This window comes from Homo sapiens, chromosome 7 (assembly GCF_000001405.40).
Source record: "Homo sapiens chromosome 7, GRCh38.p14 Primary Assembly".
Lineage (NCBI taxonomy): Eukaryota > Metazoa > Chordata > Mammalia > Primates > Hominidae > Homo > Homo sapiens.
Window position 1 is genome coordinate 47,733,670 of NC_000007.14, and position 23,994 is coordinate 47,757,663.

The 23,994-nt window shown below is 45.8% G+C and overlaps 1 annotated feature.

Moving 5' to 3' along the window:
• Positions 5,720 to 6,374: an enhancer, noted in NCBI's record as "H3K4me1 hESC enhancer chr7:47778987-47779641 (GRCh37/hg19 assembly coordinates)". NCBI's record gives its function as "activates a minimal SCP1, AML or CMV promoter by ChIP-STARR-seq in naive H9 embryonic stem cells {active_cell/tissue: H9 hESC(naive)}" and the evidence as "EXISTENCE:reporter gene assay evidence [ECO:0000049][PMID:30033119]".

Sequence of the window (23,994 nt, forward strand, 5' to 3'; positions counted from 1 at the left end):
CAAGTAGCTGAGATTACAGGCGCATGCCACCACGCCCAGCTAATTTTTTGTATTTTTAGTAGAAACAGGGTTTCACCATGTTAGCCAGGCTGGTCTCAAACTCCTGATCTCAGGTTATCCACCCGCCTCAGCCTCCGAAAGTGCTGGGATTACAGGCTTGAGCCACTGCACCCGGCCAAATTTTTATTCTTAAAAAGCTAACTGCATAACATCACCCATGCTGGAGAATGTGAATATGTAATGAGTCCAGTGCAGAGAACGCTGGGTTCCTGTTTCCATCTACTCCAAGGCAGCCACATCCCTCCTCGTGCTACCACGGTATTCAGTGGGCAACAGGTATTGCTGCACGTGCACGGTTTACTGCCAACACCAAATCTCACTGTAAATTCAGACTAAAAAAATACGAGGAACTCTCCACTGGTTTTTTGTTCTGAATCAATATAACGGTGTAAAATAGTTACCAGGGTACCCGGCATATACAAAGAGTCCTTAATCGTTCATTACAATAATCATTACTGTTCAGTGGAGACTTTGCCATGCAGAATAAAATTTACTTTGACAGTATCATGTGAAGCCACCTTCAGCTGCTGGAGTCCTATAAAATGCATGTTCAGTCTGTTGGTCCACCACAGACTGAGTTTTCTCTCACTGGAAAGAAGTAGTATCCAGCCCATGGTCCGTGACCCCTGAATATTTGTTGAGCGATGGATGATTTAGTGCTTGAATAGCTCCAGCAAAGCCCATGGCCAAACTGGTGAATGTGTAACTGGGAGAAACTCTTTCTAGATGTGGCCAGTCTTGTCTAACTGTGGTCACGTGATGAGAGGAGATGACAATGACAGAGATGAGGAACGGATGTCTGGGCTGGAGACAGAAAGCTTTGTCACCTGTCATCTCAGTTCTGGGCTTCTGAATGGTGACGGGGGTCTGTGTACACAGGATATTTAGAGGCAAAAGAAACATCCGGCTCTGGGCTTCCACCCGACCTTGCTCCCTGCCCCATCCTCCTGCCGGCCCAGGACATAGGCTGACTCGTAGCTGGAGGGCAGAGAAGGTCACCAGCTACAGATCCCCCACCAGTCTGGCCAGGACAGGGAGCTTTCCTGCTGGCCACCATCATCACAACGCTGTGTGTGTGCAGGTGAGACCAGCCCATCCACAGGCAAGGCACTGATGTTCCGTCAGAGTCTAGGTCATTTCTAGTTCACCCTATTAATGATTTGCTGTTCTCAATATAGGATATCTCTATCTTTTTCAACACAGCCCAGCATTTACTTAGTCATCCTACTTCCGACCTAAACAGCTGATTATTTCCAATGCATCTTAAACACAGTGCTTTATGATGGCCTCCCTACTCAGCCTCATGAACAGCCCAATCTATAGATGAGGCAACCAAAGCCCAAAGAAGTTGCTTCATGTGCTAAGGTCCCAAATCTCAGGGAGGACTGCAGAGATGGGGTTTGATCCACAGTGACTATTTACCTATTACGTTACTTTTGTGCAATGCTATTTCCAGTATATGCTACATCAGTTAGAATTGCAATTGGCTGCTATTAACAGAGACCAGGGGCGGTGGAGCGGGGGGAACAAGATAAAAGCTTCTTTTCTTCTTTTTCATAAAATCAGTCTGGAGGCAGGGCATCCAGAGAAGCTATGGAGACTTGAGGGCCACTTGGGACCTGGGTTTCTTCTCTCCCACTGCTTTGCTTGTCCCCTCCGGATGGCTCCCACCCTTACAAGCTTCTCATGAATCAAGGTGGCTGCTGGAGATCCAGCTCTCAAATTGAGATTCCAGGAAGAGGGGGAACAGGTTTAAGGGGGCCTGGGTTGGAGCTCTGTCCATCTCTTAAGGAGCTATTGCAGAAATCTTGCCTAACAAACTCCACTTATGTGTCATTTGTCAGACTGAGTGGCATGCAAGTACCTGGGTGTATGGGATGCGGGTCTGTATTTCCACTTAGAACTGCAATTCTGTTCCCAAGGGAAAAGGGAGAGTAGACAGGAAGGGCAGCCAGCAGTCTTGGTTACTTGTGTCACTTATATTTAGTGGCTTCCACAATGTGTACTCCTCTGTGCTTAATTCCAACAGAGCACTTTCATCCTTACGCTGTGGGATCCCATGCTTGCCCGCTCTAACCTACAGAGCGTGTCTTCTCTGGATGGGAGAGTGAAGAGTGGAGGGGAAACAAAGGCGTGAGCTTCTTTTTCCTGAATATCTTCTCACCATGAGCAGGCAACACATTAAGAATATGCTGGTCTCAAGGGCTCCTTTCTCCAGGATGGACACAGAGGGTTGCCCAGACTTCAAGCAGGAAGGCGTGGCCACTGCCTTCCACTGCCAAGATGTCTCTTTCTTTCTTTCTCTTTCTTTCTTCCTTTCTTTCTCTCTTTCTTTTTCTTTCTTTCTCTTTCTTTCTTCTTTCTTTTCTTTCTTTTCCTTCCTCCCTCCCTCCCTTCTTTCTTTCTTTCTTTTTCTCTCTCTTTCCTCCCTCCCTCCCTCTCTCTCTCCCCTCCCTCCCTCTCTCTCTTTCTTTCCACCCTCCCTCCCTCCCTCTCTTCCCTCCCTCCCTCCTTCTTTCTTTCTTTCCTTCCTTCCTCCCTCCCTCCCTCCCTTCCTTCCTTCTTTCCTTCTTTCTTTCTTTCCCTCCCTCCCTCCCTCCCTTTCCCTCCCTCCTTCCCTCCCTCCCTGCTTTCTTTCTTTCTTTTCCTTCCTTCCTTCCTTCCTTTCTTTCACGGAGTCTCACTCTGTCGCCCAGGCTGGAGTGCACTGGTGTGATCTCAGCTGGCTCACTGCAACCTCCACATCCTGGGTTCTCTGCCTCAGCCTCCAGAGTAGCTGGGATTACAGGTGCCCGCCACCATGCCTGGCTAATTTTTGTATTTTTAGTACAGATGGGGTTTCACCATCTCGGCCAGGCTGTTCTTGAACCCCTAACCTTGTGATCCACCCGCTTTGGCCTCCCAGAGTGCTGGGATTACAGGAATGAGCTACCGCGCCCGGCTGATGTCTCATATTTCTAATAGACTGTTTTCTGAGGGTTGATAGGGTTCAGGAGAGAGAGATGCGTTTCTCTTAAACGAGACAAATGAATGCCTGCAGGAATTAGGGCTCTCTACGAATCAGCGAGTTGGCTGCTGGGCTGCTGAGAACATGCCCTGGACTGGGGAAGCATCAAGTTTCAAAGCCCCCTACCCGCCATAGCTGAGTCCTCATGATCTTGGCCTCATCCTAGAAAATCATGACATTCTATTTGTTTCCTATTGTTGCTATAACAAAGGAACACAAATTTAGTAGCTTAAGACGGCTCAACTGCATTGTCTTAGGGTTCTGGAGATGAGAAAGGCCCCCAGGGCTGTGCTCCTTCTGAGGCTCTAAAAAAGAATCCATTGCCCAGCATTGTCCGGCTTCTAGAGGCCATCCACATTCTTTGGGTTGTGTCTCCTTCGCGCATCCTCAAAGCAAGCTGCACGGCATCTTCACATCCCTCTCCCTCTGTTCTCTGACCTCCGCTTCCATTGTGACATCTCCCACTCTGACTCTGAGCCTCCCTCTTATAAGGATCCTGTGATGACATTGGGCCCAGCCCCACAATCCAGGACAATCTACTTCAAGACCCTTAATTTAATCCCATCTACAATGTCCCCTTTGCCATGTAAGGTGCCGTACCCACATGTTCTAGGGCCCAGGACATGGACATCTTTGGGGGTCATTATTCTGCAGATTGCAGAGATGTTGTGGGGATTCCCCTCAATTTCTCCTTACTCCTCATTCACTCCTTCACTTTAGCCATTTAAAATAATTAGTCCCCAACAAGGCCCATCTGACCAAGGGCTGTCCGCCTGGGGTGCCAACTGTGAGAAGGGATGTGGGGAGCAAGTGAGGGGAGCAAACTGGGACCCACAGAGGGGCCTCCATGTCTGAACAGCTGGCAGCAGGACAGACTTCCCTGCAGCCAGTGCTCAGGTCCTGACCTGGAGGGAGGCTTCAGCTCCCACCTCCATCCTTTCCCTCTTTGTACAAGCCCAGAGGGAGGGAACCATTCCTCTGCCTCAGTCACAATCTGACAAAGCAGGACCGTTGTGCAACTTAAATGCTCCAGGCTGGGCTTTGGGGTCTGCCAAAAGCACAGCTGACATTCTTTCATTGTTGCAGGGCAGACAGTGGCAACAGGGACACAAGGGCATCTGCCTTCAGCTCATGTTGCCCTTCTCTCGTGGGAAACACAGAACCAGCGGAGCCTTTTTAATGTTCAGTCTTGAGCTGTTCACAGTGGCCCAGCTTGTTCCAATTTCCGGGTCCTGAGCCACAGGCTAAGGGTATGGATGTTGAGTATCTCCCATCCCCTGCCCTGTCTGAGACCATGTGAGGAACCTTTTAGGCCACACCTGTCCTCCGGTCCCATGATGATGTTCCTAGCGTTTCACATATGCTGCAAGTTGCCTCAATTATGTGGGGGCTGGTCCATCTTTCACTTGGGCTTCACAGCCTTCGCCCTCCCTGGTTTCAGACCCTCATCTTCAGGTGTGTAGCAAGACTGGTGTCTGCATCCTACAGCCCATAGCTTTCCTGATTCAAAATGTTAAACCACACTTCCCCAGGCTCTCACTGCAGCCTCCCATCCAGTCCAGACTGTGGCTGCTCAAAGTGTGGTCCCCGGACCAGCAGCCTTAGCATCTCTGGAGAGCTGGTTAGAAAGTCCACAACTTTAGGTCCATGCCAGACTTGCTGAATTCTAATCTTCATTTTACCAAAAGCCCCAGGTGGCATTTGTGCAAATTCAAGCACGAGAATCACGGCCTGGCTTTAGGAAACCATGCCATCTCCCAGAGTCGTACTTTCCTTGTCTGTAAAATGAGCAGTTGGATCAAAGGTGCCCTGAGTTTCCCCCTCTGTGGTGTCTTATGGCTCCTGTATGTGGCTCCACCTTTTGTAAAGTGTTTAACAAGAAACCGGCTCCATGAGCCTCACAAACCAAAGACTGAACAATAATCACATCAGTGGCTGAGTTGTTAAACTTCTAAATAGAATCTGACTTGTATGCTATACGATGTGTGACCGTAGTGAGTGACTTGGACATTTCTGGGGACTGCCCCACCCTTCTTGTGGGCCTAAGCCACAAGCCACATTCACACCTGAGTGTGAGGAGGCAACAGCCTCCTCAGGGTCTCTGCCTCTGCCTTCAACAAGCAGCGGAGAGCTCTTTGCAGAGCCCACACGGACAGAGCCTGAGTCCCTCCACCAGACCCTCCCCCACCTGCTGCCCCTTCTCACTTGCCCTTGCCTCCAGCAGCCTGGCCTTGGCTGGCCTTTGACCTCAGGTCCTCGGGCCTTTGCAGGTCATCCTGTGGGCCTGAGACATTGCCCCATAGCCCCAGCCTAGTCTGCTCTCCCAGCCCCCTCAGGTCTCTGCTCAAATGACACCATCTGCAGAGGCCTCTCTGGAGCAACTTATTTGATGCTGACACTTGCTTTCCACTAGCCCACACCACACTCCTGGTCCCTTTTGCCTTCCTCTAATTTTTCATTTTTCCATAGCAATTCCCACCTCCTAAGATGATGCAGCATTTACCTCCTGTGATGATGGCTGTTGCCCCACAAGGACAGGGATTCTCGTCAGTTTCAGTTCCCAGATGTTCCCCAGCATGGTAAATGTCTGGCACAGAGCATACACAGTATTTTTGGGAGGAACACACTTCTTATTCCTCAAAGTTTCAGGGAACAGGCCCCATCAGGTGCCTCTGTATCCCCAGGTGATGCCCAAGGGAGGCTGAGGGCTGAAGAGTGGCATTCTCCCGATGTCCTGACCTGGGCCACAGTGGGGACGGGAAGCCCTCTGGTATGGAGACTTTCACTGAACTAAACACAGCCTGGGTGGACTGGCCCAGGCCTGATGTGGTGTCCTCCTTGCCTCTCGCTCTGACCCACGCTGGCCTCCCCTTGAAGCTTGCCTGCCCTGAGCCTTGAGGATCTTTTCCTTGTTGCTGGGGCTTCTCTGCCTCCAGTTCTTTCTCTGCAGTGTTCCCTCAGCAGGAGGGCTCCTTATTTTCTCTATGGCTTTCTTATGCAACACAAAAGAACCGGCTCCTTAGCGCAATGAGAGGACGAGAGGATGGTCACTTTGGGAGACTGGCTGTGCGGCTTTGATACATGGTGGCTCCTGGGAACATCAACCAGGAGGGCTGCGTTTTTATGTTTATTAATTTTATTTACTTATTTTACTTCTAAATCTCATCTGTGGCTTGACAGGGAACTAAACAGCTGGACTCAAAAGTCCAGCCCCTGCCCCCCGCCCCCAGTTAATCATCCGCAGCTGTGGGTACAGGGTCCCTGTGCCTCTGGGACTTAATGCAGGTGGCCCAAGTCCCGGGCACACGATCATAAGAACGGAAGCCTTACTATGTGGAAGCGGCATAAGCGTTACTCAGCAGACAGTTTATTTATTTTCTACTTGTGTTTATAAGCCCCTCCTCTGCAGAGGGGGCCTGGAGGCTGCTCAGAGGCCGTTGTACAGAAATGAAAATGTACTAATGTGTACACACACACACAATGGAATATCATTCAGCTTTCAAAAGGAGATCTTGTCATTTGCAACAACATGGATGAACCTGGAAGACATTTTCATTAAAAAAAAGAAATGCCAAGTTAGACAGAACAAAACATTAAATATGCTCAAGGATCAAAATATGACCATGACGCTATTGCCATTCTGCTCTGTTTTCTTTCAGTCTCCATGTAAATGCTTTGTACAATAGTCCCCCCTCACCTGAGCAGCATAACTTCCAGGAACCACACTGGATGCCTGAAACTGTGGCTAGCACCAACCCCCATACAAACTATGTTTTTTCCTACATACACACCTATGGTAAAGCTTAATTTATCAACTAGGCACAGTAAGAGATTAACAACAATGAATAATAATAAAATAATAGAACAATTATAACAACATATGGTAATAAAAGTTATGTGCGGCCGGGTGCAATGGCTCACGCCTGTAATTCCAACACTTTGGGAGGCCAAGGCAGGTGGATCACCTGAGGTCAGGAGTTCGACACCAGCCTGGCCAACACGGTGAAACCCTGTCTCTACTAAAAATTCAAAAATTAGCCAGGCATAGTGGCACACGCCTGTAATCCCAGCTACTTGGGAGGCTGAGGCAAGAGAATTGCTTGAACCTGGGATGTGGAGGTTGCAGTGAGCCGAGATCGTGCCACTGTACTTCAGTCTGGGTGACAAGAGTGAGACTCTGTTTCAAAAAAAAAAAAAAAGTTATGTGAATGTGGTCTCTCTCAGAATGTCTTGTTATTTTATAATTGTTTCATCTATTCTTGGACTGCAGTTGACTCAGGGTAACTAAAACTTTGGAAAGCAAAACGGGGACTACAGTACATGTAAATAACATGAATAATGTGAATATATATCACAATTTCTTTGTCCATTCATCTGTCAATGGACATGGAGGTTGTTTTCATATCTTGGCTATTGCAAATAATACTGCAATAAAGCCTAATGGAGGTGAGGAAAATTCTCTTCCTCCTCAAGTCAAGTCTCCCCAAGCCAGGTCTCCTGCCCTCTACCCGCCCCAAACTGCCCCAGCAGGTGAGCTGCCACTACTGAGAAAGAGAGCCATCGCCTGCCTCCTGCCTTGACCCCAAACCAGAAACTCTCCTCCAGACTCTCAGAACTCTTCCTGTGTCCTCCCACCTCCTCCAGAATCAATCAGAAAGGTGCTCCTTTACCAACCCCTCAGCTGGGGCTCCAACCTCACTACTCTTCACTCTCAGTTCTTCACTAAGTTCCTCTCCAAAAGACTCTCCCATATAAATGTGTTAACTGCACCAACCTGACCTGGGCACCCACAGACTCAAGAGGTCGTGGTGTGGGCTCCCTGTGTGAGTTTTTCTGTGGAATATTCTTTTTTATTTTTATTTTTATTTTTTGAGATGGAGTCTCGCTCTGTTGCCCAGGCTGGAGTGCAGTGGCGCAATCTTGGCTCACTGCAAGCTCCGCCTCCCGGGTTCATGCCATTCTCCTGCCTCAGCCTCCCGAGTAGCTGGGACTACAGGTGCCCGCCACCACGCCCGGCTGATTTTTTGTATTTTTAGTAGAGATGGGGTTTCACCGTGTTAGCCAGGATGGTCTCGACTCCTGACCTCTCCACCCACCTTGGCCTCCTAAAGTGCTGGGATTACAGGCGTGAGCCACTGCGCCTGGCTCTCTGTGGAATATTCTTAGACGGGGAACTGCCAGCTGCAGGATGTGAGCATCTTCAACTTTCCTAGATGTTGCCAAACGACTGTGCCCTGGCTATACTAATTTACGCTCTACCAGGATTTGGGGTTTATAGAATTCTTACAGGACCTGTGGTCTTGGACAGTAGCTAATCAGTTGATACAGAAATACTGCCATGATCTAGGGGCATGCTTAGAATCTGAAAAGGTAGATTCCGGAGGAGAGAAGCAGTCTTTTGTACCGTAGGGATGGACATAAGGAATTCATTACCGAGGAGGTCATGTGGGTCAACAACATAAATAGACTCAAGAAAGATGAAGACACTCTCAGGAATGATCCGTGAGCAGCCGGGTCATTAGGAAGAGCTGAGCCCCTCTTTATGTCTTCTGTGTTTATTTTTCCCATTAAAAACACATTTTCATTAAAAAAATTAGAAATACCAAGTTAAATAGAATACAAAATTAAATATGTCTAAGTATCCAAATACGACCACCAGTGCCATGTTTTCCTTCCAGTCTCTCTGCAAATGTTTGCATAATTGAACCGTTGTATATAAACAACTTGATAACTTGCTTTCTAATTCAACATTAGATCATAAATATCCCACCAGAATATTTATAATTCTTTGTGACCATTTGTAAAAGGTTTAAAACAGTCCAAAGATAGTTAGATTATTTAGTAGCATACTGTGATGAATAATTTTGCACTGTTTTCGTATATTTAGAGTTGTTTCTTTTGGTCATTTAAAAATATATATTAAGCATTTTGTTTTTGAGACGGAGTCTCACTCTGTCACCCAGACTGGAATGCAGTGGTGCAATCTCGGCTCACTGCAACCTCCACCTCCCGGGTTCAAGCAATTCTCCTGCCTCAGCCTCCTGAGTAGCTGGGAGTACAGGCATGCACCACCATGCCTGGCTAATTTTTTTATTTTTAGTAGAGACAAGGTTTCACCATGTTGGCCAGGCTGGTTTCAAACTCCTGACTTCAAATGATCCGCCCGCCTCGGCCTCCCACAGTGCTGGGATGACAGGTGTGAACTACTGTGCCAGGACTCAGAATTTTCTTTAGTAAGATTTGCTGATATGGATTACTGGTTAAATGATCTAAACATCAGGTTAAAAGGCATGGTTATCTCTCATCATTCTCAGCAAACTATCGCAAGGACAAAAAACCAAACACCGCATGTTCTCATTCATACGTGGGAATTGAACAATGAGAACACATGGACACAGGAAGGGGAACATCACACACCGGGGACTGTTGTGGGGTGGGGGGAGGGGGGAGGGATAGCATTAGGAGATACACCTAATGCTAAATGACGAGTTAATGGGTGCAGCACACCAACGTGGCACATGTGTACATATGTAACAAACCTGCACGTCATGCACATGTATCTTAAAACTTAAAGTATAATAATAATAATTTTAAAAAAGTCATGGTTATCTATTATGGTTCTTAGTATATATTGCCTAATTGCCTTTGAAAATGGTTGTATGGCCAGGTGTGGTGGCTGACGCCTGTAATCTCAGCACTTTAGGAATCCAAGGCAGGCAGATCACGAGGTGAGGAGTTCAAGACCAGCCTGGCCAATATGGTGAAACACTCTCTCTACTAAAAATACAAAAATTAGCTGAGCGTGGTGGTGCACGCCTGTAGTCCCAGCTACTAAGGAGGCTGAGGCAGAAGAATCCCTTGAACCCGGGAGGTGGAGGTTACAGTGAGCCAAGACTCCAGCCTGGGTGACAAAGTGAGACTCCGTCTCAAAAAAAAAAAAAAAAAAAAAGAAAGAAAGAAAATATTTACACTGATTTATAAGTCTACCAGCATCATATGTGTTTCCCTGAGTTTACCAGCTTTAGGTATTATATTATTTTTAAAGTTTTGTTAATTTGATAGACAGTGAAATAACCTAATTACTTTGATGTTTATTTCTTTAATCACTAGTAGGGTTGAACATTTTCCCATATGCGTGTTCCCTAATTCTTTTTCTTCTGTTGGGAATTATCTGTGCCTATTGCTCACCTGTTTACAGGATCTTGTTAATTTTCATAATTTATATGAGCTCTTCGTGTAACAAAAATACCAAGCTGCTACGGGAATGCCGGCACCGTGGCTGAAAAACAGCACACGTGGTTAGCGCTGCCGGCTGGCCTTACCCAGGGGAAAACGTTCATGTACTTCTTTCTGGGTCGTCCTCTCCTTCCTAGGGCTCTCTCTGCATCAGAGTCACCCTTTCTGAGCGGGGTCATGTTTGTTTTACTTTTCACAACAATTTATTAAAATAAATGAGTCTGCTTTTACTGACAGCCCACTTCCTCCCTTTCCCCCCAAAGAAAACACAGAGAATCGGCAAATCTGGCGCTAGCAAGGAGCTTGCCTGCTGGCTGTGCCTGGAGACCCTCCGCAGCTTGTTAATCAGCCCCAAACGAGGTGCCAGCGCCCAGATCCCGTGCTGTCACACAGGCGGAGTCAGGTTACAGTGGCAGGGCAGCTTGAACTGGGAGCCCTGGACGCCCAGAGGGGTGGAGGTGGAGGTGGTGGGTGAGGCTGGGGGAGCTCTTCGGCCCTGGTTGAGGGGAATGATGGATGGAAGGGTTGAGGAAGAGATTAGTGGCTATGGGACGCGGAATGGCCTCCGTTCTACGTGGTGCCGCACTTTAGAAAATACTCCCACAGGCCGGGCTCATGCCTGTAATCCCAGCACTATCGGGAGGCCGAGGTGGGCGGATCATGAGGTCAAGAAATCGAGACCATCCTGGCCAACATGGTGAAACCCCCTCTCTACTAAAAATACAAAAATTAGCTGGGCGTGGTGGCACACGCCTGTAGTTCCAGCTACTCAGGAGGCTGAGGCAGGGGAATCGCTTGAACCCGGGAGGCGGAGGTTGCAGTGAGCCGAAATAATTCCACAGCACCCCAGCCTGGGTGACAGAGTGAGACTCCCAGTCTCAAAAAAAAAAAAAAAAAAAAAAAAAAGAGAAAAAGAAAATATTCTCACATGATCCTTACGACTACATTGTATACCTTATAAACTGGGCTATCTGATCCATTTCCTGGGTAGGGAAGCTGAGTCTCAGGGAGGAGGGGTGCCTTACCCACTGTCTCAGAACCAGGGTTCCCCCCCGAGCAGGGACCTGGTCCAGCCGAGCCTTCTCATGCCGGCAGAAGAGAGGCTGCACCAGGGCGATGTTCATAGGCCTGAGAAGACTGCAGCTCTGGACCCATGGTAGTAACATTAAAGGACGACAGCACGCTGCAGCCGGCCAAGCCCTAAAGTGTTCTGAGTGAAATTTCTCATTTCCAGCCCAAAAGTTTCACCCATTTTGTATAGAATGAAGCAAAATAACTAAGAAATGCTGGAAAACTGGTCTTATTGAGGATAAACTTAATTCATATATTCATCCATTCAGCAAATGATGATTTTTAAATGATATATTTTAAAGTACCACACAGTAATATTAGCTTTCTGTGTAGAGTTCTATGAATTTGAGCACATGTATAGATTTATATGACTGCTATGGTAATCAGGATACAGAACCGCACCTGACCCATAAACCCCCCTCACACTATCCTTTAGAGGCACCCCTACCCCAATCGCTGGCAACCACTGAGCTGTTCTGTGTTGCTATAATTTTGTCTTTTCCAGAATGTCATGTCAATGCAATAACATCTATTGAGACTGGCCTCATTCACATAGCATAATGTCTTTGAGATTCTTCTTGCTGCATATAGCAATAGTCCTTTGCTTTATAGAGCTGATAGTATTCCACTGTATGGATGTAACATGCTTTCAACCACTGGAGGACTTTTGTGTTGTTTCTAGTTTTGGGTGATTATGAATAAGGCTGCTATAAACATTTGTGTCAGACTTTAAACACCCTAAATTTCTTTAGGTTATTTCTTTAAGGTAAATGCCTAGTAGTGGGATTCTTGGGTCATATGTTAAGTGTATGCTTAACTTTATAAGAAAGTGCCACATTATTTTCCAGAATGGCTGTACCATTTTGTATTCTCACCAACAATATAGAGTTGTCAGTTGTTCCACACCCTCACCAGCACTTGATATCGTCAGTATTTATCCCAGCCACTCTAATGGGTATGTAATATCCCACTGTGGTTTAATTCACATTTCTTTAATGGCTGATGATGTTGAACATCTTTTTATGTGCTTATTTGCCACCTGTAGTAAAAAGACCTGGATATTTTGGTGGAGTAAAAAGACCTGGGTACTTTGCTGAAGTATCCAAGTCTTTTTACTACTTTTCTTTTTTCTTTTTTTTTGAGACAGAGTCTCACTCTGTCACCTAGGCTTGAGTGCGATGGCTCAATCTCGGCTCACTGCAACTTCTGTCACTCAGTTCAAGCAGTTCTGCCTCAGCCTCCCAAGTAGCTGGGATTACAGGCACCCGCCACCATGCTCAGCTAATTTTTAGTATTCTTCATAGAGATGGGGTTTTGCCATGTTGGCCAGGCTGGTTTTGAATTCCTGACTTTAGGTGATCCACCTGCCTTGGCCTCCCAAAGTGCTGGGATTACAGGTGTGAGCCACTGCATCTGGCTGTCTTTTTACTACCTTTCAATTGGGTTGTTTGCTTTCTTTCTGTTGAGTTTTGAGAATTCTTTACACATTCTGGAGTAGTTTCCCTGATTTGCAAATGCTGCTTGATGGTTCCCAGGTGCCAGAGCAGTGCTGGGTATGGAAGCTGTAGCCCAAGTGAAGATGGCCTGCAGGAGCCTCCTGACAGGGCTGAGGCCAGCCGGCCAGCAAGCTGTTGTTACCTCTGAGTGGGCTGAGGGCACACAGGACATGTCTGCTCCAGCCTTGAGTGTCCAGCATGACTTTCCAGATGAGGCGTTCCTGAGCCAGGGTTTATCGAAACTCCTTGCCCAGTTGTCTGTGGTTATTCCACTTCCACAGGTCTCATTGGTTCCTTGCCCCACTCCAGCCAGGCTGCACACTCGCCAGTCCTCCGTCGCAGTGATCCACCTCTCGCCTGGGCAGGAATCAGTGCTCAGCCCTTACCTGAGTGCATTGTCAGCAGCACCCCACTCCATTTCTGGCTACGCCTGTCCTGGCACACTTTCTTTCCCAGCCTTCTTTCCCTGCCTGCACACCCTCCTGATGCTTCTTCCATCTCCTCCGTTGCTCTTTCTGCATCTCCTTTGTAGGAGGCGGTGGTCTTCTCCAGAAGAACCCTGAATGCACAACTGTACTCAGATTTCTGTCTTTAATCCCCTACTCTATTCTCTCTCAGTCCCCTAGGTCATCTTGGTAAGAACCATGTCTTTAAATATTAGGAATGTGTTTGGTTGGACCTCTCTCCTGCTTCTTGACACAGGCACCCAATAGCCTACTCTGAACCTCTGTTTGAGTGTCAAATGCGATGGCAAAGAGAGCTCCTGATTTCTCCTGCCGAGCCTTCCCGGGCATGCTGTAATCTTAGGATCAGATCAGCTTCTGTGTTCTGTGTTCCTTCCGCCTCCGTATCCGGTTCACTCTGTGGGTTCTAATTCCACAACACAGCTTGAATAGAGCCACAGCTACTGCCCAAATCCAGCAATGGCCACCTCTTACCTGGGCTACTGCAAGGGCTGCCTGTCTTCCTCCACTCTTGATTTTTTTCTAGCCAAGAGCCAGAGGCAACACACATATGCTCTGATTACATCTCATTATTCCCGTGGCTTCCCATCATTCTATTTTTTTTTTTTTTTTTTTGAGATGGAGTTTCGCTCTTGTTGCCCAGACTGGAGTGCAGTGGCATGATCTCGGCTCACTGCAACCTCCGCCTCCCAGGTTCAAGCGATTCTCCTGCCTCAGCCTCCTGAGTAGCTGGGATTACAGGCATACACCACCATGCCTGGCTAATTTTTGTATTTTTAGTAGAGATGGGGATTCACCATGTTGGCCAGGCTGGTCTTGAACTCCTGACCTCAGGTGATTTACTTGCCTTGGCCTCCTAAAGTGCTGGGATTACAGGTGTGAGCCACTGTGTCTGGTCCCATCACCCTAGTATTCTTATCCTTCCAACGGAGCACCACAAGGCCCTCTGTGATCTGACCCTGGCTAACTGTTATCTCCTCCTCCCATTTTTCTTCTCCATTCTCCCAGATCTTCACGCTGCTGCCTCCTCTTTACAAAGTTTTTACTCAAATGTTTCTTCATGTTACTATTGTGGCTACCCTTGGGAAATCTCTATCCCATTAACCATTTTATCTTCTTCATAAAATCTGTAAGGTCCTGGAAGCATTCTGTTTGTCTGCCCGTGGGCTTGTTGACACGTCTCGTTTGTTTCTCCCTACTAGCATGTCTGTTCTATGAGGCAGGAGCTCTGCTTGGTTTGCAAGGCATCCCCAGCTGCTAGCACAGTGCTGCACGCACAATTGGTGCCCTACACATACCAGGAAGAGAGAGAGTGCTGCTGGTGGGTCGCCGTGGATTACTATGCCTGGATCCTGGGTAATAGAGAGGGAGGAAAGGAAAGCCAGGTTCTGGTGTGAAGGGCTTAAAGCAGAGTATGAAAGTCGGATTTTTATTCTTGGAAATTAACTCTGGATACTGATTGGAAAATGGACTGGAGTGGCGAGATCTGAGGAAAGGAGACAAGTTAGGAGAATGTTATAAAATTCCTGGGGAAAGGTTGTGCTGCTTTAACTGCAGTATTTGAAATAAAGACTAAGATGAGGGGGCAGAGTCCAGAAATAACAAGGAAGATACATCTATGGGATATTTTGGGTAGGAGATATGAAATCAAGGATAACACCCAAGTTTCCTTCTTGCCAAATCAGGGTCACAGTGGTGTCCATCCCTGAGAGAGAGATGGCAGGAAGAGGGAGAGGATGAGTGGGCCTAGGAGGCAGGCTGGCAGAGATTCCCAGTGGGCCTGAGGGTTCCCAGCCAAGCAAGCAACTCCGCCCAGTGACCCCTGGACAGGAAGGGTGGGTTACTCAAGGGCAATTGATAGGTTATATATTTGATCTAGCTTGGAGGATGTTAAATCTTATATTTATAGGGAGAATTTTAAGTACCTGATTCTCTTAGGGGGACAATACATTCCTTAGCAACAGCTTTTTCCCATATTCTCTTTTTTTAAATTAACAGACTCATTTTTCTTTTTTAGCCTATTGCTGTGATTGATTACACTAATTTATTTTTGAATGTTGAACCAGACATGCATACCTGAAATAACTGCCTTTTGGTCATAGCATGTAATTCTTTTTATATGTTGTTGGATTTGATTTGTTAATATTTTGATGAGGATTTTTGCATCAATGTTTACGGGAGATATTGGTGTATAGTTTTCCTTTCTTGTAATGCCTTTGTCTGGTTTTAGTATGAAGGTAATGCTGGCCTCATGGAACGTGTTAGGAAGCATTACCTCTGCTTCTATTTCCTGGAACACATTATAAAGAATTGGCATAATTTTTTTCTTAAGTGTTTAGTGAAATTTACCAATCAACCATCTGGGCTCAGCGATTTCTCTTTTGGAGGTTATTAATTATGCATTCAATTTATTTAATATAGGTCTATTTGGATTATCTATTTTTAATGAGTTTGATAGATTGTATCTTTCAAGAAATTGGTCTATCTAAGTTATCAAGTTTGTGGGCATAGAGTAGTTCGTAATATTCTTTTACTATCCTTTTAATGCTCATGGGCTATAACCTATTTCAATTATGCCACTAGTTTTTTTTCTTTGTTTGTAGGTGCTACATACTAATTTGCTTCTTTGCTTGCCTATTTCATAAATATTGATGAATACCTGTTGAGGTCAGGTGCTGTGTTGGGGACTGGGAATCCCAATACTGTCTGGGGTGACAGCTGGAAAGATCCCTGGTTTGTGGACTTAACATTAATTAGACGGTGTAACATGCAAGGTGCTTCATGGCTTTGGTAGGGTAAGTAGCCCACTGGAGAGTGGGCTCGCTGGTCAGGGAGGTATTCTGGAGCTAGAGCTGTTCTTTAGGTAAGGCAAATCTGGGTTTGCAGTTTTGTTCTTTGGTGTGGGGGTCTGCAAAACCATTGCAGCAGGTGGCTAGAGGGGCACCGGTGACATTATTAGCTATGGCTACTCTCACTTTAAGACAGTGACAGAACATTAGATTTACAGAAACATATATAGGGATAATCCGGTTTAATTGATTAGAACAACTCAGATGAATCTGCAATTGGAATGCTGGCTAATGGAGTTATTGAAAGGGATAGGAAAGTGTACCTAATACGATTGACAAATGGGCTTCTTTATTATATTTGTTGCAGGTTTCCTTGGTTGTGAACAAAAGCACCAACCTTGTCTATATTCAGTGAAATGGGGCTTATACCAACCCTGGGGGCTCACAGAACCAAGGAGTCTCTTATAATTAACATGAGGTTGATACTGGGCTGGATGGGCAGGACCCAAGGGCACAGCACTCTTTCTCGGAGTGAAACTGCAATCATTTCCATTTCTTTGTACTGCCGTTCAAGATTCAAATCCTAGCGGGGGATATCCACTTGGGGGTGCACTCACCTGTCACATAGGAGACAGTGGCGTCTCTGATTACAGTCTGCCCGATTCTACCCAATGGCAAAGAAGTCAAACTGGATCTATGATTATTATTTCTTTAGGATGTTTTTATTATTATTATTATTTTTTTAGATGGAGTCTTGCTTGTCACCAGGGTGGACGGAGTGGTGTGATCCTGGCTCACTGCAACCTCTGCCTCCTGAGTTCAAGCAATTCTCCTGTCTCAGCATCCCGAGTAGCTGGGACTCCACCACGCCCAGCTAATTTTTTGTATTTTTAGTAGAGACGGAGTTTCACCATGTTGGCCAGGATGGTCTCTATCTCTTGACATCGTGATCTGCCTGCCTCGGCCTCCCAAAGTGCTGGGATTACAGGCGTGAGCCACCACACCCAGCCTCTTTAGGATACGTTTAAGCAGGTATAATTACTGAATCAAAAGTAATGTCCGTCTTAGATTTGCACAAGATTTTGTTGAGGGGTGAGTGTCATTTCAGAGTTTCCTGGTGAAGTATGTTCACCACCTAAATGTTAAGAGATAATTATGGCAAGTAGTATTTTAAGCTTTTCAGATAAAGTAGTAGTAATCGTGATGTGAAAGAATCCCATCAAGCAGGGCTGGCTGTTCTGTTGAATTTCACTTTCCATTTTGGAACAAAGTATTTGAGCTCATTTTCTTGGAACTGATTACTGTGCCTTGGGGCAGCATGGTACATAAAGCAGTCGATGTTGTATAAATATATTGCGCAGCTTCATTGCAGAAACCTCATCTCGGAGGAGGCACAGGTTTTCCAGATTGAAAGATAAATTAGAGACACAACAGGAGGTGGCCTTCAAAGATGTGGTTCTTGTGGTGGGCTACCACAAGGAGCTAGAGCAAGGCAAAGAAGGGCTTAGAGCAAGCCAAAGATGATTAGGAAAACACAGAGTGATAACTGAAAGAGAGAACGTGTGGTCCTGGGGAGGACGGTGATGAAGACAGGGTAAACTCTTGTGTGCCTACCAAGAACCTCTAGGGATCTCTAGGTCACAGAAGGCTGCCCTCTCCCTCAAACGAGAAGTGTCCTCCCTGGAGGAGGCTCTGCTTGTGAGGTGGTGTGGCTGATGGGCCCAGGCAATGCCAGACTCTCTTGCTGTAGATACCAACCCAGATTTACTGGGGAAATGTACAAGCAGAACTGGCAAGAAAATTAGGTGCGCTTTCCTCCAAGAACTTATATGACAGGCTGGGAACAGTGGGGATAACCTGGGGTCCTGGTGGTGGGAGATGAAGCCAGCTGGACTTCCTGGGTCGAGTGGGGACTTGGAGAACTTTTCTGTCCAGCTAGAGGATTGTAAATGCACCAATCAGTGCTCTGTGTCTAGCTAGAGGATTGTAAATGCATCAATCAGCACTCTGTAAAAACGCACCAGTCAGTGCTCTGTGTCTAGCTAAAGGATTGTAAATGCACCAATCAGCACTCTGTAAAAACGTACCAATCAGTGTTCTGTGTGTAGCTAAAGGATTGTAAGCACACCAATCAGCACTCTGTAAAATGGACCAATCAGCAGGATGTGGGCGGGGACAAATAAGGGAATAAAAGCTGGCCACCCCAGCCAGCAGCAGCAGCCCACCGGGGTCCCCTTCCATGCTGTGGAAGCTTTGTTCTTTCACTCTTCACAGTAAATCTTGCTGCTGCTCACTCTAGGGGTCCACGCCACCTTTAAGAGCTGTAACACTCACCATGAAGGTGTGCAGCTTTATTCTTGAAGTCAGCAAGACCAAGAACCCACCGGAAGAAACCAACTCCTGACATAGTAGGAAATGGAAGCCATGCACACCCCTTTCCCATGGGGAAGCAGAAGGAATCCTCCACCCCTGCTGTGTCTCAGCAAACCACAGAGGTGCCAGGTGGCCACTCCTCCACCACCTCTGTGTGAGAGAAGCCACTTCAGATCCACACTCAATGGTGAGAACCAAAATAAACAAATTGATCGGAACTACAGGACTCTACTTCATTTCTTTTCCTAGAAAGGATTTGATTTAACATTTACTTTTTCTCATTTTTTTTTGTTTCAAAGCTTATAAAAACATTGAGAGGCTAATACATTGAATACCTATATAAATGTCACCTGATTCACCAAATGTTAATGTTTTTCAACATTTGTGCTCTCTCTCTCAATCTCTTTCTCTTCCTTCTCCCTGTCATATATATTTAAACATATCTTCACTGATAGATAATAATTGTACATATTTCTGAGCTACAGGTAGTATTTTGCCACATGTATATACAATGTGTAATAATCAAATCATGCTAATTAGGATATTCTTCACCTCAAACATTTATATTTTCTTTGTGTTGGAAGCATTTCAGATCCACACTCTAGCTATTTTGATACATATTATAAATTATTGCTAACTAGTCACCCTACTGTGTGACCAAACACTAGAACTTATTCCTTCTTCTATTATATTTTTGTACTCATGAATTGACCTCTCTTCATCTTCCCCCTCCCACTACCCTTTCTAGCCTCTGGTAACCCCCATTCCACTCTCTATCCCCATGAGATTCACTTTTTTTTTTTTTTTTGAGACAGAGTCTTGCATGTCCCCCAGGCTGGAGTGCAGTGGCGTGAGTTTGTCTCACTGCAACCTCTGCCTCTCATGTTCAAGCAATTCTCCTGTCTCAGCCTCCTGAGTAGCTGGGATTACAGGTGCCCGTCACCATGCGTGGCTAATTTTATTATTTTTAGTAGTGACGGGGTTTCACCATGTTGGCCAGGCTGGTCTCGAACTCCTGACCTCAAGTGATCTGCCCACTTTGGCCTCCCAAAGTGCTGGGATTACAGGCGTGAGCCACCACACCTGGTCGAGATCCATCTTTTTAGCTCCCACATATGAGTGAGAACGTGTGATATTTGTCTTTTTGTGCCTGATTTATTTCATTTAACATAATGACCTCCAGTTCCATCTGTGCTGCCACAAATGACAGAATTTAATTCTTTATAATGACTGAATAATATTCCCTTCTGTATACGTACCACATTTTCTTTATCCATTCATCTGTGGATGGACATTTAGGTTGATTCTCTATCTTGGCTGTTGTGAACAGTGTGACAGTAAACATGGGAGTGCAGATACACCTTTGATATTCTAATTTCCTTTCTTTTGAATACATACCTAGCAGTGGGATTGCTGGATCATATGGTAGTTCTATTTTTAGTTTTAGGAGCAACCTTCATACTGTTTTCCATAGCGGTCGTAAGAATGTACATTCCCACCGACAGTGTACTAGCGTCCTTCCTTCTCTGCATCCTTGCCAGTATCTATTATCTTTTGTCTTTTTGATAACAGAGACTTTTTTTTTTTTGGATACAGAGTCTCACTCTTTCACCCAGACTGGAGTGCAATGGCATGGTCTTGGCTCACTCCAACCTCCGCCTCCCAGGTTCAAGCGATCCTCCTGCCTCAGACTTCCAAGTAGCTGGGATTACAGGCACCCACCACTACGCCCGGCTAATTTTTGTATTTTTAGTAGAGATGGGGTTTCACCATGTTTGCCAGGCTTGTCTCGAACTCCTGACTTCAGGTGATTCGCCCACCTCAGCCTCCCAAAGTGCTGGGATTACAGGCGTAAGCCACTGTGCCAGGCGAATAACAGCCATTTTAACAGGGCTGGGCAGATATCTCACCATGGTTTTGATTTGTGTTTCCCTGATGATTAGTGATATGAAGCGTTTTTTCATATGTGTGTTTGCCACTTGTATGTCTTCTTTTGAGAAATGTCTATTCAGATCATTTGCTCATTTTTCAACCAGATTTTTTTTAAATTTTACTTATTTTTTTTCTGCTATTTGAGTTGTTTGTGCTCCTTACATATTCTGGTTATTAATCCCTTGTCAGATGAGAAGTCTGCAAATATTTTTTCCAATTCCATAAGTTGTCTTTTCACTTTGTTGATGTTTCCTTTGCTGTGCAGAAGCTTTTGGCTTGATATAATTTCATTCGTCTACTTTCACTTTTGTTGCCTGTGCTTCTGAGGTCTTACCCAAAAAATCTTTACCCCGACCAATGTCCTGAAGCACTTGCCCATATATACATGCATATTTTTGAACCATTTAAAAACAGTGACAGACATCATAACACTTCACCAGTAAATGCCTCACCAAGAACATTCTGCTATATGATACAAAGCCATTATTATGCTTAATAAGAAACTTACTATTGATTCAAATGTTTTCCTTTGTCCCCAAAATATCTCTTACAGATTTTTTTTTTTTTTTTTTGAACAGAGTCTGCCTCTGTCACCTAGGCTGGAGTGCAGTGGCAGTCTTAGCTCACTGCAACCTCTGCCTCCCAGATTCAAGCAATTCTTGTGCCTCAGCCTTCTGAGTAGCTGGGATTATAGGCATGTGCCACCACACTCGGCTAATTTTTGTATTTTTAGTAGAGAAGGAGTTTCACCATGTTGGCCATGCTGGTCTCAAACTCCTGACCTTAGGTAATCCTCCCACCTCAGCCTCCCAAAGTGCTGGGATTACAGGCGTGAGCCACTGTGCCCGGCCTTCTTATAGATTTTTAAAATACAAAATCCAGTCAAGGATCTTACATTGCCTTTTAAAGTCATGTCTCTTTAATCTAGAACAATCTTCTCTATATTTCTGTTTTTCACGATTTTGTTTTTGTTTTTGAGACAGAGTCTCACTCTGTCACCCAGGCTGGAGTGCAGCAGCATGATCTCAGCTCACCAAAACCTCCACCTCCTGGGTTCATGCGATTCTCCTGCCTCAGCCTCCCCAGTAGCTGGGATTACAGGTACTCGCCACTACGCCCAGCTACTTTTTGTATTTTTTAGTAGAGACGGGGTTTTGCCACATTGACCAGATTGGTCTTGAACTCCTGGCCTCAAGTGATCCTCCCACCTCGGCCTCCCAAAGTGCTGGGATTATAGGCATTAGCCACCTCACCTGGCCCATGATTCTGTTTTTAAACAGTCAAATTGTAAGCCAGTAAGGAGATCATTTATGGAGAAATCAACTATGTGCCAGGAGTTTTGCATATCTCAGCACAATTTTAATGGTATATTTTTGACATTTGTTTTCCAAGTACCTACCTCACAAGACATAGGACCCATCAGGGCAAGAGTTATGTCGAAGAACAGACCCTAAACTCAGTCCCTACCTCAGTGCTTACTTACCAGGAAATAGACAGTAAAGACTGCTTGTTGTAAGAATGATTTCGGTTGATTCCTATGAATGATATACTAGTATCTGATTTCCAGGGTATGGTGGGGAGTACCAGATTTATCCAAAGTGCGAAAAACTGGCAAAATAGGGATTAAAATCAGGCCTCTGATTGCAAGCCTGAATTTGTTCAACTTGAAGGCAGCCCATCTTCTCAGAACTTTCATTTTCCCATAGGGAGATTAAGGTATTAAATATCTCATAGTGAAGATGTATCCCAGTTCTTGATGTGCTGAAAGTCTGAGCGTTCAGGAGCTCCAGCGGGATCAGGTCCTTAAAGCAGCATGGCTTAGAAAAGGACGTGTACAGACCCTGGCTTCCCATCCCAGCTCTAGCGCTTGCTGTCCATGGCCATGGGCAAGATGGTGAACCTCATGTGGGAAGAGTGAACAGTATCTACCTAGTGGAGCTGAAGAAGGAGAAAATGATGCCAAACAACCAGCATGATGCCCTGCTCAGGACGCCCGAAGTGCCTGATGAATGAGGTGGAGATGGGGGAGCCGTAGCTTACGAGGGCAAAGGGCAGAGCAGGTGAGGATGGAGCAGAAGTGACATCAGAAGAGTCAGGAAACAGCCAACACTTTCTGCTCAATGAGAGCTCCTTAGTTCTTATTTTATTTATTTATTTATTTATTTATTTATTTATTATTATTATTATTTTTTGAGACGGAGTCTTGCTGTTTCCCAGGCTGGAGTGCAGTGGCGCGATCTCAGCTCACTGCAAGCTCTGCCTCCCGGGTTCACACCATGCTCTTGCCTCAGCCTCCCCAGTAGCTGGGACTACAAGTGCCCGCCACCATGCCTGGCTAATTTTTTGTATTTTTAGTAGAGCCGGGGATTCACCGTGTTAGCTAGGATGGTCGCGATCTCCTGACCTCATGATCCGCCCGCCTCAGCCTCCCAAAGTGCTGGGATTACAGGCATGAGCCACCGCGCCTGGCCCTTATTTCTTATTTTAAAAAATATTTCCAAAAACGAAGGCAAATGTCCTGCCTCCTGTTATATACTTTAACCTTTGTTCCTCCTGGGAGCTTGCTGCCTCTGGGGTTCAGGGTGTCTCAAGAGTTCAGACAGCACCGTTCAGAGCCAGTGGAGGACCCCAGATGTGACCCTGGAGCTCCACGCTGTAATTCGCCCACACCATGCCCTGCCCGCCAGCTTCAGTCTCTGTCCCAGATTGTGGCTCAGAAAATACATAACAAAAAGATACTTGCCATAGTTTTGGAATGACCATGTGGAAAGTTGAAACAGACTGATGGACTGACATTTTAATTCTCATTAAAGAATTAAATGGATCAGACTGTGTGTGTCTTCCAAGTTTCAGGTAAAATAAAATAGATTACTTTTAAAAGAAAAAATATTTTTGGTTGCTAAGGGCATATATCTAGATCAAAACCTCCTGGCTTCATAAACTTTAAATTATTTTAGATTTCTGAAAAACATGCTTCAGTCTGATGGTAAGAAAATGGGAATTTCAGACGTGTGCCTAATGCTATAACAAACTGTCTAGAGAGAAAATCATCACGATTCTTCCTGAGAATGGAGGTGAATGGGACTTCTTTGAAAGTAAAACCTACAGTGGGTGTCCCCATTAGACAAAAGAGAAGCCCAAATATATATATATATAAAATGTATTTTTTTTTTGAGACAGAGTCTCGCTGTGTCACCCAGGCTGGAGTGCAATGGTGAAATCTTGGCTCCGCATTCAAGCAATTTTCCTGCCTCAGTCCCCCAGGTAGCTGAGATTACAGGCCTGAGTCACCATGCCCGGCTAATTTTTTTGTATTTTTAGTAGAGACTGGCTTTGCCATGTTGGCCAGGCTGGTCTCGAACTCCTGACCTCAAATGATCCACTCTCCTCGGCCTCCCAAAGTGCTGAGATTACTGGTGTGAGCCACCGCACCTGGCCACAATATTTTTAGAGCCTGGTTGGAGAGTTGACTGGGCAGGAAACCACCTGGATATGCCACTGTAAAAACCCAGGCAGAAAACAAGGTGGTTGAAGCAGGTGAAGCAAATGGTGGGTGGCCGGCAACA